The following is a 16,962-nucleotide window of genomic DNA, read 5'->3' as shown; positions in this document are numbered from 1 at the left end:
GGCACATGCCTGTAATTCCAGCTACACAGGAGGCTGAGGCAGGAGAATTGCTTGAACCTCGGAGGCGGAGGTTGTGGTGAGCCGAGATTGCGTCATTGCACTCCAACCTGGGCAACAAGAGAGAAACTCCGTCTCAAAAAAAAAAAAAAAAAAAAAAAGGGCTGTAAACCATCTTAGCCTAGAGTTTATGAGGTTTATGATGAATGATTAAATTTCTTTAGTGGTTATGGTCTATGTTTTCTATTATTCTTGAATCATTATTGGTTATTTGTATTATTAAAAATTTACCATTTCATCTAGGTTTTCAAGTTTGTTGGCACAAAGTTGATTATTCACTTAAAAAAATCTCTTCAGTAGTTATATGTACATCTTTTTCATTCTTAATATTCTTTATTTTAATCTCTTCCTTTTCTTGGTTCCTGTCAGTATGGTTTGTTAAAAGAACCAGCTTTTGGTTTTCTTGCCTGACTTAATTGTCTTTGTTTTCTGTTCCATCTGCTCTTTGTTTCACTATTTTTGTTTATTCCTTTTCTAGTTCATTGATTTTCAGTTTCTTGTTTTCTAATACATACACTTGAAGCTGTAAATTTCCTTCTACGTACCATTTTAGCTATATTCCTACCTGAATTTTCAAAGAATTGAAGTTGGAGAGTAGGCAATGAGGATAAAATGAAACAGGCCAATGGTCACTGGTCTTGTTGTCTAAGGTGTTATCCGAGTTCGTTGTCTCACGACCGAAGGAGCGTGGATGCAAAGGGTGAGATAGGAGCGAAAGTTTAATAAGCAGAAGAAGAAACCTCTGCACAGTGTAGAGGGGAGCCCTAGTGGGTTGCTGTTTTTAGAGTTGAATTCAAAAGCTTTTATAAGAAACTCCCCTCATCTCTGTAGCTGTTTGAGTAGTTTCTCTTATTAGTAGCTGTCTGTGCAACTCCCCTTATCTTATGTAGTTGTGGGTATGTCTCTAGGCAAGCACAAAGTGCCACTTCTCTTGTTTCTGTAACTGCGGGCTTAATTTAGGTAATCCCTCCTTCTCCCTACAGAAGTTCCCATGGAGCCCACCGTGTACATGTCTGAAAAGGGGAGGACACTTTTTCCTGGGAGCCTGCCAATCACATAAAGAACAAAAGGCTTCTGTGCTGGACCCTGCCTGCTTATCTGTGCAGGTGCAGCCTGAGTTTTCCCCAGGCTGCTCTATTTTTGCCTATAGGTGTGATTTTGTAGGCAGGCTGCTTCTCTGAGGATTAGCCTTAGCTGTGTACCTAACATTAACATTAGAGAAATGTCTTAGGTGCCTATGGGTTTGTTAATTATTGCACCCCAGAATTAAGTAGACTTATCTATCTAGTCACAGTAATACACACTAATGTTACATTAGGGTCTTCTCCTATAAACTCATATCAAAGAGCAAGAGAAAAGAATGTGTGTAGGCTCCCAAGAAAAGTGAGAAAGAGGCTAAATTATTCTGAAATTCATCAAGGTAAGTCACTCCTCTCACCAAAAAGTATGTATTTTTCCTTTCACAGGCAGTGTTTATCTAGGTCTACTAACATGTTTAACAATTTCTTTACTTTGTTGCTGCTTGCATTCAACTTGACTTCTTCTTGAGTTCGGTTCCTTTCAGCAAAGGCAGGGGTCCCCAATCCCCAAGCAGCCAACTGGTCAGTGGCCTGTTATGAACTGGGCACGTGGCAGGTAAGCAGAGGGCAGGCAAGCATTACCACCTCAGCTGTGCCTCCCATCAGGTGGCATTAGATTCTCATAGGAATGTGAACCCTATTGTGAACTGCGCATGCAAGGGACCTAAATTTCATGCTCCTTATGAGACTCTAATGCCTGATGATCTGAGGTGGAACAGTTTCATTCCAAACATCCTCCCCCAATTTGTGCAAAAAACTGTCTTCCATGAAATTGGTCCCTCATACCAAAAAGGTTGGGGACTGCTAAGCAAAGGTCTCTGAATAGTGAACTACTTTGTTTGTTTGAAAATATTACTGTCATGGAACTGTTTAATAATAACTTGGCTGACTGTAGAAATTTTGACAGTATTTTCCAATCTTTTGTCATCCATTATTGAGTGTAAATAATGTTCCTTTTTAAATAATCAGTTTGTCTTTTCTTTGATATTTTGCAATTTTATTATGTCTTTAATTGTAGATTTGCTTTTACTTATTCACTCAAGAGTTTTTTGTTAACCTGAAGACAAATGGATTCTTGAGATTCTGGAAAAGTATCAAACATTATTCTTTTGTTGTCTCTCACACCCTTTTTCAGTTTCTTCTGGATCTCTTATTAGAATATGTAAAATGTATTCAAACCACTATGACCTTTAGACTCTCCTTTGTCATGTTTTTAATTTCAAACACTGTACTATTTCTAGATGTTTTTTCAAACTTGCCTGTCCTTTCATACTGTACTATTAAAAAATAAAAAATCTAATTACTTAAAAAGTCTATCATTTTAAACATTCCAATTTTATAGTTTCTTTTAGTGTTTCATCACATTTTTAGTCTTGGGGTGCTAATTCTGTTTGTGATGTCTACCACCTTTGCCACACAGTGCTTTGTTTTCTCGGTGACTCATCAGTTCATCTTCATTGAAGGCTACCTTTTCTGTAGGATTTTTTGTGGCCTAGGTTGTAGAAGTGTTTCAGAGAGGTTTTGTATTTGTTTTTGCCAATGCCCTGAGGGCTTCACTGGTCCTATAACAGTTATAATGGTTTGGCTTGGAGTTCCTGTATTATACGGATAGTTTAAATATATATATGTGTGTTCTATACTTTGTTGTGGCACAAGCTTGTGGGGTTTTGATTTCTCACAGGTGGCTTTTTAATTTTTAAAATTGTTAACCCCCAAACCAGATACATCACAGGTGCGTTTTTCTTTCCCTATTCACTGTTGGGGTAGTTGGCAATTCTTTTCCACTATGATTTGTTGCCTATTTTTCTAGCATCTCTTCTTAAATAAAACACTCTTTTTTAAGATTGTAGCTTTTTTTTCTTTAAACAGAAATAGGGTCTTGCTCTGTGGCCAAAGCTGTAGGTCAGTGGCATGATCTTGGCTCACTGAAGCATCCGTCCCCTAGGCTCAAGTGATCCTCCCACCTCAGTCTCCTGAGTAGCTGGGACTACAGGCATGTGCCAGCACACTTGGCTAATTTTTTTTTTTTTTTTTTTTTTTTAAGAGACAGGGGTCTCGGTATGTTGCCCAGGCTGGTCTTGAATTCCTGGCCTCAAACCAGCCGCATGCCTCGCATCCTGTGCCTGGACCCAAGTTTGTAGCTTCATTGGACAGTTTGTGTGGTTGGTAGGCATGGTATGTTTCAGTTTCAACCGCCTACTCTACCAGGGCCCCAATTCCTTAACTCCTATCTACACATGTGGGTGTCAAAATCACCCTTAGTGTCTTTTTGTTTCTGAAATCTGTGGGCTGCTACAATGTTAGCTCCCAGTTACTCTCCTGGCCTTGAGCATCTTATTTCTGACATCTCTTGATATGCTATTTCCCTATTTAAAACAATACAAAACAAAACCAAATCTTTTTGGATATATTTTATCCAGCATGTACTTGTGGGGGAGGGGCATCTGTGTCAGCACAATCTACCATATATAAAGTGAGAAAAGAGCAAAGGACTGGCCCCTGGAGAATACTAACATTTAAGAAGTGGTGGAAGAAAATGAGCCCTTCTGAATCTACATTTCGATCTATCAGCTAATGAGGAATGAAGGTATCAATTTCTTACTTGTGTAGCATAATGTTTATATATGAACAAAGGAACTGTTTCAGAAAATTTAATGTGAGGGTACCAAAGTTCTAATTTTTACTAGAAAGCATCAATCTAGAGTAGGAATATAAAATAGCAAAAATCTCTCTAGGGGCTTTTGGCCTCTTACTACCCAGACAATGTCTGTCATTTTCATTCCCCCCTCCTCTTTCTCTAGCATAACGTGCTGTGAGAAAACAATGTAAAATTCATCAAAATAAATGTAGTTTCAGTAAGTATAAATGACTACCAACTTAAAAGGTCATCTTGTTTTATGCAGGGTGTATTTTAATGAATCAAGAGAATGAAGCTCTGAGAATGGAATTTTAGGTATTATTTGGGGAGATAGTTTTAGGGCAGGAAATTAAAAATCCTATCTAATAAGACACTGTAAAAGATGCAGTACTCCAGCTCTCTTCTACAGAAAAAAAAAGATGCAGCACTAGTCATTTAAGATAAAAATTGTATATATTTTAAATATATTTTAACTATTCATTTTCCAATGTTAAGATTTTAAAAAATAATTTCCTTATAAAATCACGTTATGATTTTGCTCACTATAAACTCTCATTAATAACAGTTTAATGTAGTTTATACAGTTTTAGCTCTGTCCAGGATACTAAGTAATATTTTTACTTTTTGTTCTAACTATACATCTTTTAGGCTTCAAAGAATAGAATTGTCTAGCAATTTAGCGATTAAATTCCTGTTTGCCCTCTATCCATGCCATTCAGAATTTAGAGTCTTTTTTCCTCTATGCATGCCTCTGTACGAATTGAAAACTTTTATATTATCTTACTCTTTATATGGGAAACTATTCCTCATATTTGGTTATTTTAACCATCTTTCTTTGAACCATTTGATAGTGCAGCAGGAAAGGAAAATATTTTCTATTTTGTTCCTGTAACTCCATTATGTTGACCACTGCAAGAAATGATGTTTAGAGTTTGACTTTTTTTCCTCTTGAGGGATAACACCAATATATTTAAAAGTATGGTCTGTATTATTGTCCTTGAAATACGCTTTGTCCCTGTGCATAAGGAAGTTCCTCCACCCCATTTTGCCCATTCACAGCCTCAGAAAATCCGTCTATAGTTTATCCCCACTAGCTTAACATCCCTTTACTCATTAGAACGTTAAAAACTTGGGGATTTCAAATATACTGTATTCTACAACAGCTCTGAAAAACAAGACAAACTCCCGTACAAAACCTTGGAATGCTGTTTATATCTGTCCATTGAGAAATACCTCTCTCTTTAGTTAAGCCAGTTCTGACAAAAATTTTGCTATACTCTGCTTACTAATAAAGTCAGAGTCAGGGAAAAAAAGACTCCTTTATAACAGTTAAGCTTCCTTTATTGTCAACAAAATATACAAACTAATTTTCAAGAGGATACCTTTTGTTCTAAGATATATTCACACTAGCAAGATTTTATTTATTTTAAAGATAAACATCAGCAGATAAGCCATTTTATTTTCCAGTTTCAGTTTTATAATGTCACTAAAGTCATTATCAAATTTTAAATGATCACATCTATAATCAAAGGCTGATACTGTAAATATTATACACAGTAATAACAACTGTCTTAGAAGAGATATAGAACAAAGCTTATTTCTGCCTACACATATGATGACATCTATTGATAAGCTTTTAAGAAATATGTCATACCATATGACTTCAAAAGATGGGAAAACAGGTATATTAAATGAATAGCAATTTAAAAGACGCTACTTTCATTTCCTAGATTTCAGCATTAATCTAGGATTATATGATTAATTTTTAATCATAAAAAGAATTTTAAACTAACAAATTAAAATATACTACCTATAATAAATGAAATATCACACTAAAATGTGTTTGAGTCTAAGTGGGAGGAAAATCCACATTTATCTGATTTTTAGTATTTAAATTCTTGAAAAAATGTATGCTTTATTGCAGAACTAGCACTTTAACAAAATACAGACAATAACACTATCAAAATGTATGCAAATGGCAGCTATGTAATTTGTATGTTTAACAAGTTAAATCCATGTATTTCTTAATTTACTCTCCCGATTACCTACCACCAATATCAATATGAAAGAATTCTTTAATTTTATCATATAATACCAACACCAAAGCACCCCCTGTACCGCGAAGAACATTGGAGAAGGCGCCACGAAAAAAGGAACTGATTCCTTCATGTTGGTATATCTTCACAAAGCAGTCTAAGGTTCCTTTATATTGCCGTTTAGCCTCACCACTCTATACAAAGAAAAACAAAGGGTTTTCCATTATCTGAATATCTTTTATCTTAAGACAGTCTTCTATTAGCACTAAGGATAGATAAGATAAACACTGTGTTGAGTAGCACTGTGTTAATAGGCATATATGGCTACTGTCCCTGGTGGTTAGAGAACATTCATACTTTTCAGGCACACTTGAAAACTGACCATACATTAGGCGTTAACAAATGTCAAAGGATGTCATCACATAGACCATGATTTATCCTCTCACAGCACTGCAATTAACTGAGAAATCAATAGCAAAATAGAAAAATACCATATGGGCTAGGCATGGTGGCTCATGCCTGTAATCTCAGCACTTTGGGAGGCCGAGACAGGAAGATCGCTTGAGCCCAAGAGTTTGAGACCACCCTGGGCAATATGGAAAAATGCCATCTCAACAAAAAATACAAAAAATTAGCTGGGTGTGCTGGCACATGCCTGTGGTCCCAGCTACCCGGGAGGCTGAAGTGGGAGGATCACCTGAGCCTGGGAGGTCAAAGTTGCAGTGAGCCATGATCACACCATTGCACTCTAGCCTAAGTGACAGGGTAAGACCCTGTCTCAAAAAAAAAAAAAGAAAAAAAAAAAGAAATCATATGTTGGGATGTTAAGAACACTTCTTCTCAGAAAATACTGAAAACCAAATGATAATTACAAAACCTCTTACCTAAATTTTTAAGATGCAGCTTCGAGTTGTAATTTATAAGGAAATTAATGACCTTGAAATATTAGAAAAGGCTAAAAGTTAATGAGCAACCTAAACATTTTTAGACAAAGTATAAACCTAAAGAAAGTAAAAACAAGAAAATAACTGGCAGAAATAAAGGAAATAGAAAACACACACAACAGCACAAAAAAAGTCCAGTTAGGTCTTTGAAATACTTTGCTGACAGAGTTTGGAAATATTGTTTGAGGAAAAAAGAGAAAAGGCCCCAAGATTATCAGAAATGGCAACGGTAACAAAAATGCAGATGATCCAGAAATTTAAGAGCAAGATGATGTCATAAAAAACTTCATGACAATTATTTTTAAGTCATAAGAAATGGATAAATTCCTAGAAAAGTATAATTTACCAACAGAGTAGAAAAGAACTGGAATAATACTATAGTTGTTAAAAATTCAATCAGTTGTTGAATATCTTCTCATAAAGAAAACCACATGTCCAAAAGGCTTTACATGTGAGTTCTGCTAAACATTCAATGAACGTTTAATTCCAATCTTTCAGAAATTATTCTAGAGGAGAGAAAAAGTGGGATGACTCCTCAACGTATTTTATGAGGCTTGCACAGACTTGCTACTGAAGTCATACTAGAGCAATACAAGAAGGAAAAATACAAGCCAGTGTCATTAAACATGGATGCAAAAATCCTGAACAAAACCCAGCAATCAAATCTAGCAAGTGCTACAGAATACAATACTTGCAAACTGGGTTTATCCCAGGCATACAAGAGTTAGCTCTAGAAAACAGATTAATTTAACACAATATGTAAACATATTAAAAGAAAAAAAGGTTTAATCATCTCAGCAGATACAGAAAGAACATGACTGCCATTCATAATTAAAAATTGTTGTAATCCAGGAACAGAAAGGAACTGTCATTACATGATAAATGATAATGACAAAAAACCCCCACAGTTAATATTAAATTATGTAACACTGACGTCATTTTCTGTATGATTAGGAACAAGATAAGGTTGCCAGTTACTACTTTGTAAATATAACACTGAATCCGGGGTCTCAGTGAGTACAGAAAGGCAAGAAAGAGAAATAAAAGGTGTAAGAATTGATAAGGAAGGAAGAAAACACTGATATTAGTTGCAGATTATATGCCTGTTCATGTAAATAAAAATTTGGAAGGTATGTACATACACATTCGTGTTTGTAATAGGGTTAACAAAGTTGTGGGATGTAAAATGAAATACACAAAAATTAAGTAGTACTGTTATGGGCTGAATTGTTAAAATCATATATTGAAATCCTAATAACTCCCAGTACCTCAGAATGTGACTGTATTTGGAGATAGGGTCTTTAAAGGTAATTAGAATTAAATGAGATCACAAGAGTGAACCCTAAGCCAATATGACTGTCCTTATAAAAAGGGGAACAGGCCAGACGTGGTGGTTCAGGCCTGTAATCCTACCACTTCGGGAGGCTGTGGTGGGTGGATTGCCTGAGCTCAGGAGTTCGAGACCAGCCTGGGCAAAATGGTGAAACCCTGTCTCTACTAAAATACAAAAAATTAGCTGGGTGTGGCAGCGTGTGCCTGTAATCTCAGCTACTCGGGAGGCTGAGGCAGGAGAATTGCTAGAACCTGGGAGGCAGAGGTTGCAGTGAGCCGAGATTGCACCACTGCACTCCAGCCTCGGCGACACAGTGAGACTCCATCTCCAAAAAAAAAAAAAAAAAAAAAAAAGAAGAAGAAGAACAGAGGAGGAACCCTGTGAAAACACAGGAAGAAGACAGCCATTTATAAGACAAGGAGAGAGGTCTTCAGAGGAAACCAAGTCTGCTGACATCTTGATCTCAGACTTGTAGCCTTCAGAACTGTGAGAAAATAAATTTGTTGTTTAAGCAAACCACTTTTGTGGGTGACACCAGCCCTAGCAAACTAATACACACACACATATAAGACTCATATTCCCATTTTTTTTTCTGTACTGTTGTGAGATTAGGTTGCAGACATCATGCCGTTTATCCTTAAACACTCGAGTGCATATTTTCTTTTTCTTTTTTTTTTTGAGACAGAGTCTTGCTCTGTTGCCCAGCCTGGAGTGCAGTGGCGCCATCTTGGTTCACTGCAAGCTCTGCCTCGTGGTTCATGCCATTCTCCTGCCTCAGCCTCCCGAGTAGCTGGGACTACAGGCGCCCGCCACCACGCCTGGCTAATTTTTTGTATTTTTAGTAGAGATGGAGTTTCACCGTGTTAGCCAGGATGGTCTTGATCTCTTGACTTCGTGATCCACCCGCCTCAGCCTCCCAAAGTGTTGGGATTACAGGCGTGAGCCACAGTGCCTGGCTCAAGTGCATATTTATTTTCTAAATATTGGGATATTTTCTTACATATCCAAAGTACAGTTATCAAATTCAGGAAATTTAATATAATACCACTGACCCAATCCATAGTCTACGTGCAAATTAATTTTCCATTTTAAAAAGTTTCTCAATGTGCTAAACTAGAGCTAGCTATAGAAAGAAAAGAAACACAGACATAAATGGAATAACTCTAAGTATTATCCCTAAGTGAAGTAACGGGTTAGTTTTAATCTGCCAGATTGCCTACTGGTCCTTCCAGGACCATTTTGTAGTCAATAAAAATGAGGATAATGATAGGAACTACACCTCAGTGTTTTGAGAATTTAATGAGTAAAAGTACAGAACTCTTAGGACAGTATAAAGCATATAATAAGCACTATATTACTATTCTAGTTTTCTGACCTCATTATTTTCACTTGCCCTCATAAAACTTATGACCTGGCTATCCTGAACTACTTCTCAAGCCATATTTCTGTGTACGATTTTCCCCCTATGCTTAGAATGTTCTCTCACTGACTGAAGTAAACCTACTCACTGAGATTTAGCTCTCTAGGAGACCACGTCTGATCATTTTAAGCATTTGGGCAACCCTCCTCTATGTATTCCTGGAACCTACACACATTTGTATTTAAACCATTAACTGCTGTCTTCAATATTAGACTATGAATTTGGGTGCAGATTTTGTCTTTTTCTGTCACCAGAGCTTAGCATAGATGAAGCATGCAAATATTTGCTGAATGGATGAATGTAATAAGTACAGGTTGGTATCCCTTATCTGAAATGCTTGGAATTAGAAGTGTTTTCAATTTTTTCAGATTTTGAAATATTTGCTTTGTATACTTACCAGCTGAGCACCTGAAATCTGAAAAGCTCCAATGGGCATTTCCCTTGAGCATCACGTTGGTGCTCAAAACATTTTGAATTTTGGGGTGTTCTGGATTTAGGATTTTCAGATTTGGGATGGTCAACTGGTAATAACAATAGAGATCAAATGTATCAAAAATTTGGTTTAGGGATTTATATTTAGAACATCATGACAAACAAGTTTTTGTCCTTGGAGTTCAAAATTATTTGCTTTCTTAAAAATATATTACAATAAATAATGAAATATCTCAATGGCTTGTGACTGGGCTTATTCTACTTAATCTAATATTTCAGTTAAGATAGACATATTCATCCAATTTCTGCCATAACCCTCTACCTTCCAAGCAATATATGCTACAGGAATAGTAGGCATTTCTGTTTTGATGGTAGGTGAGGAAGCAGCTTTGCTGGCTGATGGTTATTTTAGGATAGGAAAGAATATAAGACAGAATACATCATGTATTTATTTTAGCTAAGTAAAACAAATGACTTATGCCTTTCAGCCAACATTTCTCTTAAATTTGATTATACCTAAATATCAGAGATATTAAAAACTCAACTAAGCTTAGAAACAATAACATAAAATACCTGCATCATCATACGTCTTCTAACTGTGTCAAAGGGATAAGAAAGTATTCCAGAGCATGTAGTCACAACTTGAGCAATGAAAAAGGAGACAAGAAATGGAGTTTTCTTTGGCTTTGGTAATAAACCCTAGAAAAGAAAAATGTGCCAAGTAACTATCCAAATTTCTAAAATATCTTAAATTCTTAAGTTAAAGGATAATTTTTATAAATATATGAAAGAGGGCCCAATTATACTTAAAATGCAATAAAAATGTTGGATTTAATAGTAGCAGATCAATAAAAAGTGGAATGCCACACATGACTATATTTCAAAGGTATATTTCAAAAATATAAAGCATATTTGCCATTATAAGAATTTGTTATTAATGCACATAAAACTAGGGAAGATAGCAGACATTGACAAAAAAGAAGTTCTTCCATGGCTCTTCCTTGTGGGGTTGAAAAAAAGTGAAACAAATGCTTGCTTTTATCATCAACACATATTTGATGGGCAGCTTTAAAACTAGTGGAGAAATGTTCCTAAATTTCATAACTACTGCAGGTGATAACAAACTAGAGACAGAGTACACACATAACTTTTTTTGTGATTAAATAAATGTACAAGATCCTGTAATTTTCATTAACATAGCAGTCTAAAAAATACACTAAAAACTGATCTGTCCAGACAACAATAAAAATGCCATGCAACTACATTTATACTAATGAAGGAGTATAGTATAATTATTTATTATACTAATAAATAATACTGATATTAATTTCATTGCTTCCTTTTGGAAGCATTATAATGTAGTCATTAAGAACATGGATTTTTTTTTGCTTGCCTTTAACAAGTAAATTACTTAACCATTCCTAGGCTATTTACTTAACAATTCCTAGGCTATTTATCTTTAAACAAAGGGGGGATTTTATTTTTTTATTATTTATTTTAAACAACTACAATTATCTTTATTTTCTTATTACTTTTTATTTCAATAGGTTTTTTGGGGAACAGGTAGTGTTTTGGTTACATGGGTAAGTTCTTTACCAGTGATTTCTGAGATTCAAGATGTAAAGTACTTTAAAAAGTTTCCTAGAACTAGGTAATAGCTAAAAATTGGTAGCCATTGTTACAATTTTTCTTTTTCCTACCACATGGAAGTGTTCTTAAAATCTGAAATGAAAAGGTAAATTGCAGAACAACCTGGAGAATACAACACAGAATCTAACAGTATCCGGTAGATAACCAAGCTACAGTAGCATTTATTTAATTAATTTTGCTTTGTCTCCTTCTCAAAATGACATTTTATTATTTGAATATAAAAAAGTGATAATAGGGTTAACATAAAATCAGAAAAACTGTTAGAAGATGCCTTTCCATATACCAATGATTTGATTATGATGTAAGCTTAATTAGCGTGTTTTTCATTTGCAATGTGATGTACAGTGAAAACACCTCAAAAACTTAGATACATGCTTTATAACTAAAGTCAGATCCATACTGCAGTTATAATTTAATTAGGTTATGGCAAAATCATGATTAAGCAGAATTTCATGTCTCTCTTTTTTCATCACTGATTTTTATTTTTATAATTAAAAGTAACATATCTGCTGAAAACATTACTAATTAAATAAATGGAAACCATATATTTAATATGTCCAAGTTAAAGCCCCCAGATTACCTTAACTGTGTCATAAGCTCCAAAATAAGAGGCTCGGTACACAATGATGCCCTGTACTGAAACACCAAACCCTTGGTATAAACCAGCAATTCCATCTGATTTTGCTATTTTCATAATACAGTCACCTAAACCCTTGAATTGTCGCTCCTCAGGACCTAAAATAAAGCCATTTAAAATCTATTAGCAACATTATATATCCAATAAACACTTTAATCAAAATAAACCTTTACAGATCTAAATGATCTGAAATTCCCACTTACAAATCTAACAAAGAAGGCACAAATCAAAATCCTCCCATTCTTTTACAGATAATCAAGATTTCAAGTACTATCTCAAAAGAAATAAATGGAAAATATTAATCTCTCATGAAAACAATTTACTTCAAACAACCTGCCTTAAAGTATTTTATTAAAGTTACCAGAAGTTACTAATTGAGGTTCAGAAAATAATTTGAAACAGGCCAGGTGAGATGGTTCATGCCTGTAATTCCAGTGCTTTGCGAGGCCAAGGCAGAAGGACTGCTTGAGGCCAGGAGTTCGAGACCAGCCTGGGCAACACAGTGAGACCCTGCCACTACAAAAAATAAAAAAAATTAGCCAGGAGGCTGAGGCAGGTAGATCACTTGAGACTAGGAGTTGGAGGTTTCACTGAGCTATGATTGTGCCACCGTACTCCAGCCTAGGCAACAGAGTAAGACCCTGTCTCTATTAAAACAAAACAAAACAAAACAAAGAAACACTTAGAAAGGAAAAATTGGCAGGGCACAGTGCCTCATGCCTGTAATCCCAGCACTTTGGGAGGCTGAGGTGGGTGGATCACGAGGTCAGGAGTTCAAGACCAGCCTGGGCAAGATAGTGAAACCCTGTCTCGATTAAAAATACAAAAATTAGCCAGGCGTCGTGGTGGTCGCCTGTAATCCCAGCTACCCAGGAGGCTGAGGCAGGAGAACTGCTTGAACCTGGGAGGTGGAGGCTGCAGTGAGCTGAGATCATGCCACTGTACTCCAGCCTGGGTGACAGAGAAAGACTGTCTCAAAACAAAAACAAAAACAAAAAACAAAAAAAAAAACAAATAAAAAAACTCCAGGACTGTTGAAAAGCAAAAAGATAAAGCTAAAAACTAGTAAGGATAGTTTAAGATAGTTAACATTTCATATGAAGGGGTCATATTTTTCCAGTATTTTCTGGTTTTATTTTTCTTTTCCCTTGACCAAGAATTCCTTGACAATATTTTAAAACTATTATATATGTACAATGTAATCTTCCAAAAATAAACTAAATCTTCCTGATTTGAAAGAGAAAACAAAACTATGGAACTTAAAGCAAGATAATATTGAGTTATTTTTACCCTCTTATTAATAAAAATAAACTTTCAACTTCCAGTTAAATAGATGAAACTCACATTTTTATTTTTGCTCAAACTGCCACCCCTTCTGAGACATTTTCTGATCACTTATTTAAAACTGCTATCACTCTCTTCTAACTTTTTTCCCTAGCATTTATCATTAAGTGACAATATATTTTAGTCATTTATTCATTTATTATTACTTGTGTCCTCCACTAGACTCTTAGGTACATGAGGCATGAGCTCTATGTCTTACATGGGGGGTGGGGTGTGAATATGTGTGCATATATATACGCATATACACACTCACACACGCCCTGTATCTGCAGGCACCCTGTATTCCAGAAGGCACTCAATATTTGTTGAATGAATCTCTGTACCCTAAAGAAACTCTGTTACATTAATAATAATGAAATAAAACAGGTTTAAAGCCAGATAGGCCAATAAGAGAACATGACAGAATGAAATCTACAAAATTTTGCCAGATGGAGAGAATAGGGAGGAGTGGTAATTCACCAAATAGAGCAGAAAAAGCTGAACCTATTTTCTTACAGAGGAAGATACTGCTGGGAAGCAAGCCATTTGATCACAATAACCTCAGAAAGACTTAGAAATTAGAGGAACTAACTACTACTTCCAGGATGAAAGCAAAGGAGCAGGGAGATGCTCAATATCCACAACCTCACCCTGAGCAGCCAAATGACTTACTGTGCTGCCACCCACAGAACTGAACACAAGGCTCCAGATTTAACGGGGCCAGTTGTGTGACCGCTGCAATCACTCAAACACTGAAAAAAGACTCACATAAAGATATTTTATTGTGAAATATAAGATCATCAGGGATAGAAAGAAACTAAAAAGAAAAAACATATACTAAAGGATCCGGAGTAAGCAAATTGGTATCTTAAGAGCAACATTAGAAACTAGAAGTCAGGGTAATATTTTCGTAATTGTGAAGGAAAATAATTTTAAACTCAGACTTTCATATATGTCTTACCCTTTTTGAGAGGGTAAGACAAACACTTTTTTTAAGATATGTAAGAGCTCAATTTATTTTTTTTCACTCTTTCTCAAAAAGTTACCAAAGAATATACTCTACCAAAAAACAAGGGTGTAATAACAAAAAAGGGAAGATGTGATATTTAAGTAAGGATAGAGGCAAAGGGACTCCCTAGGATGAGATTTGTGCATCTAACCTAGAAGGGAGCCACAGCTGAGACAGGACTAAGTGCATGGAAAAAAATCTAGGAAGGGCTTTCTAGGAAAAAAAAATGGGACTAAGTTATAAGCAATTTTTATGTTCACTTTTTTTGTTACAACAGGCTTTCCCTCCTTCCCTTTTTTAAGGGAAAAGAAGCAAGTAATATACTTTAGGCCCTATGACTCCACCATTTGGTTGAGAACAAAGTTCGTAGACTTTATCTGGTAACACTATTATAGCACAATTAATGCCAATAAATAACAGATGGTTCAAAATGCAAAGAAGGAAAAGTTAGTATTTCTAAAAATCTCATACCTTTTCCAATATCGACACCTAATCGGGTTCGGGCAAAATCTAGAGGATATACTACACATAAGGATGTTGCCCCAGCAGCTCCACCAGAAGCCAGGTTTGCCAAAAACCACCTCCAGAACTGAAACATATTAATTTAAAAGTGGTTATTAAACCACAGAATCTAACTGTTTAAAATACCTGGTAAATTCTTATTTTTATAAATGTTAAAACACCAGATTTATAAGCCACTTTTATAAAGTAAACATCTATAATAATGCATACCATGCTATCCAAAATATTTTATTTTTATAGCCATATAGCTTTTGTTTCATGCAGTCTGGAAGACACAGTTTAGATGCTGACATACTGAAATTCCAGGATATTTTAATGTTCTCCAGCAAAGCAGCCCAAATTAGCAAAAGAGGTCGCATAATCATCTCTTTACGCTGTATACTTTTTTTTTTCCTTAATAGCTACATAATTCTTAATAATAGTGCTTGCTATGATTACAATGTCAGGCACATATGGAGGCTTTAGTTGTGCCCTTTTTCTGTGAAGGGTGAAGTAAGTAGTATTATGGCAAAAAACTGCAATTACTTTTTGCACCAACCTAAAATACTTCACAATGCCCCAGCTTCACTTTGTAATTTAAATAGAATTAAATTTGAATAGCTCAAAAATACGTATTTAATTATGTTCAAATGACAACATGGAGATTGGCAGACATCAATCATAATGTAGTTGTATGGCATTTAAGTTAGGCCTCACTGGTCTACTAGTTCACATGAGCTATTGAAGAAGTATAATTACTTTTGATCAACATTTAAAATGTGCCCTCCCCAGGTTCAGCAAGATGCTTTTCAACATCTAGTGCTTATGCGAGAAGAAAGGAGTATCTGAATTGGAGCTGTTATGAAAAATCCAGGATACGAGGCCACTGCAAGCACTTAATACATTAAAGTGAATAATATGCTAGTCAAGCTCAATTTCTTGCTTTATTTTCTGGTTTTTATTTCTAACAATAAAGTGTCAGACAGCTTTGCAATTCTCAATGTTCTCTAGCCCTGGAATGCTCTTCCTTTTTTAAACAAAAAAATAGTTATTGCTTCATGCTCTAATTCAAGTTCTACTTCTTTCATGAAATATCTGATCTCCAACCCATCTATTGAAACTGTATATGATCATACCCTCTTCCCATAAATACTTCATCTCTGTCAGAGAATTAAAGTTGAATCCCATGACCAATACATAAAATGTATTAACATGTTATAGACTCTTTTTTTTTCTGAGATGGAGTCTAGCTCTGTCACCCAAGCTGGAGTGCAGTGGCGCGATCTCGACTCACTGCACAGACTCTTATTTTTTAAATATCACTTACAACCATTTTCTACTTTCAATTTATAATTATTTGTGTACATTTATACTCCTACAGACTATAAATTTCTTTTTTTTTTTTTTGAGACAGAGTCTCGCTCTGTCGCCCAGGCTGGAGTGCAGTGGCGAGATCTTGGCTCACTGCAAGCTCTGCCTCCTGGGTTCACGCCATTCTCCTGCCTCAGCCTCCTGAGTAGCTGGGACTACAGGCGCCCGCCACCACGCCCAGATAATTTTCTTGTATTTTTTTTTTAGTAGAGATGGGGTTTCACTGTGTTAGCCAGGATGGTTTCCATCTCCTGACCTCGTGATCCGCCTGCCTAGGCCTCCCAAAGTGCTGGGATTACAGGTGTGAGCCACTGCGCCCGGCCCAGACTATAAATTTCTTGAGGCCAGCATTATTTTTCCTTAACAGCTTTACTAAGTATAATTCACATATCATAAAATTCACCTATGTAAAGCGTACAATTCAATTGTTAATATATTCACAGAGTTGTGCAACCATCACCACAGCTTAGAATATTTTCATCACACCAAAAAGAAACCCCAGGCCTGTTATAAGTCACTCCACATCCTCCCT

The 16,962-nt window shown here is 35.8% G+C and overlaps 1 protein-coding gene and 1 long non-coding RNA gene across 4 annotated transcripts in view, besides 2 other annotated features; one reads left to right on the top strand and one right to left on the bottom strand.

Moving 5' to 3' along the window:
* Nucleotides 1,084–1,223: a silencer, noted in NCBI's record as "silent region_15672". NCBI's record gives its function as "represses an Ori minimal core promoter by ATAC-STARR-seq in GM12878 lymphoblastoid cells {active_cell/tissue: GM12878}" and the evidence as "EXISTENCE:reporter gene assay evidence [ECO:0000049][PMID:35858748]".
* On the top strand, nucleotides 2,472–16,060 carry LOC105377414 (uncharacterized). Its single transcript, XR_939188.3, has 3 exons — nucleotides 2,472–2,868; nucleotides 3,557–3,723; nucleotides 15,852–16,060. It is a non-coding gene; the product is annotated as an uncharacterized LOC105377414 (long non-coding RNA).
* Nucleotides 3,307–3,376: a silencer, noted in NCBI's record as "silent region_15671". NCBI's record gives its function as "represses an Ori minimal core promoter by ATAC-STARR-seq in GM12878 lymphoblastoid cells {active_cell/tissue: GM12878}" and the evidence as "EXISTENCE:reporter gene assay evidence [ECO:0000049][PMID:35858748]".
* The window catches only part of SLC25A31 (solute carrier family 25 member 31), a 43,893-nt gene continuing 32,028 nt past the window's right edge, over nucleotides 5,098–16,962 (bottom strand). The window contains exons 3-7 of one of the 3 annotated variants that reach the window (NM_001318467.2): nucleotides 15,030–15,147; nucleotides 12,170–12,324; nucleotides 10,513–10,638; nucleotides 6,695–6,746; nucleotides 5,098–6,004 (exon numbers count right to left, since the gene is read on the bottom strand). In NM_001318467.2, coding sequence (NP_001305396.1) covers nucleotides 5,997–6,004; nucleotides 6,695–6,746; nucleotides 10,513–10,638; nucleotides 12,170–12,324; nucleotides 15,030–15,147 — 459 coding nt within the window. In that variant the 3' untranslated portion in view covers nucleotides 5,098–5,996. The remainder of the gene's footprint in view (nucleotides 6,005–6,694; nucleotides 6,747–10,512; nucleotides 10,639–12,169; nucleotides 12,325–15,029; nucleotides 15,148–16,962) is intronic. The other 2 variants (NM_031291.4, XM_011532298.3) reach the window with 2 other exon arrangements.

This window comes from Homo sapiens, chromosome 4, assembly GCF_000001405.40.
Source record: "Homo sapiens chromosome 4, GRCh38.p14 Primary Assembly".
NCBI classification, from domain to species: domain Eukaryota; kingdom Metazoa; phylum Chordata; class Mammalia; order Primates; family Hominidae; genus Homo; species Homo sapiens.
Note: the sequence above shows the minus strand (reverse complement) of the source record. Positions and strands in the feature narration are given on the sequence as shown.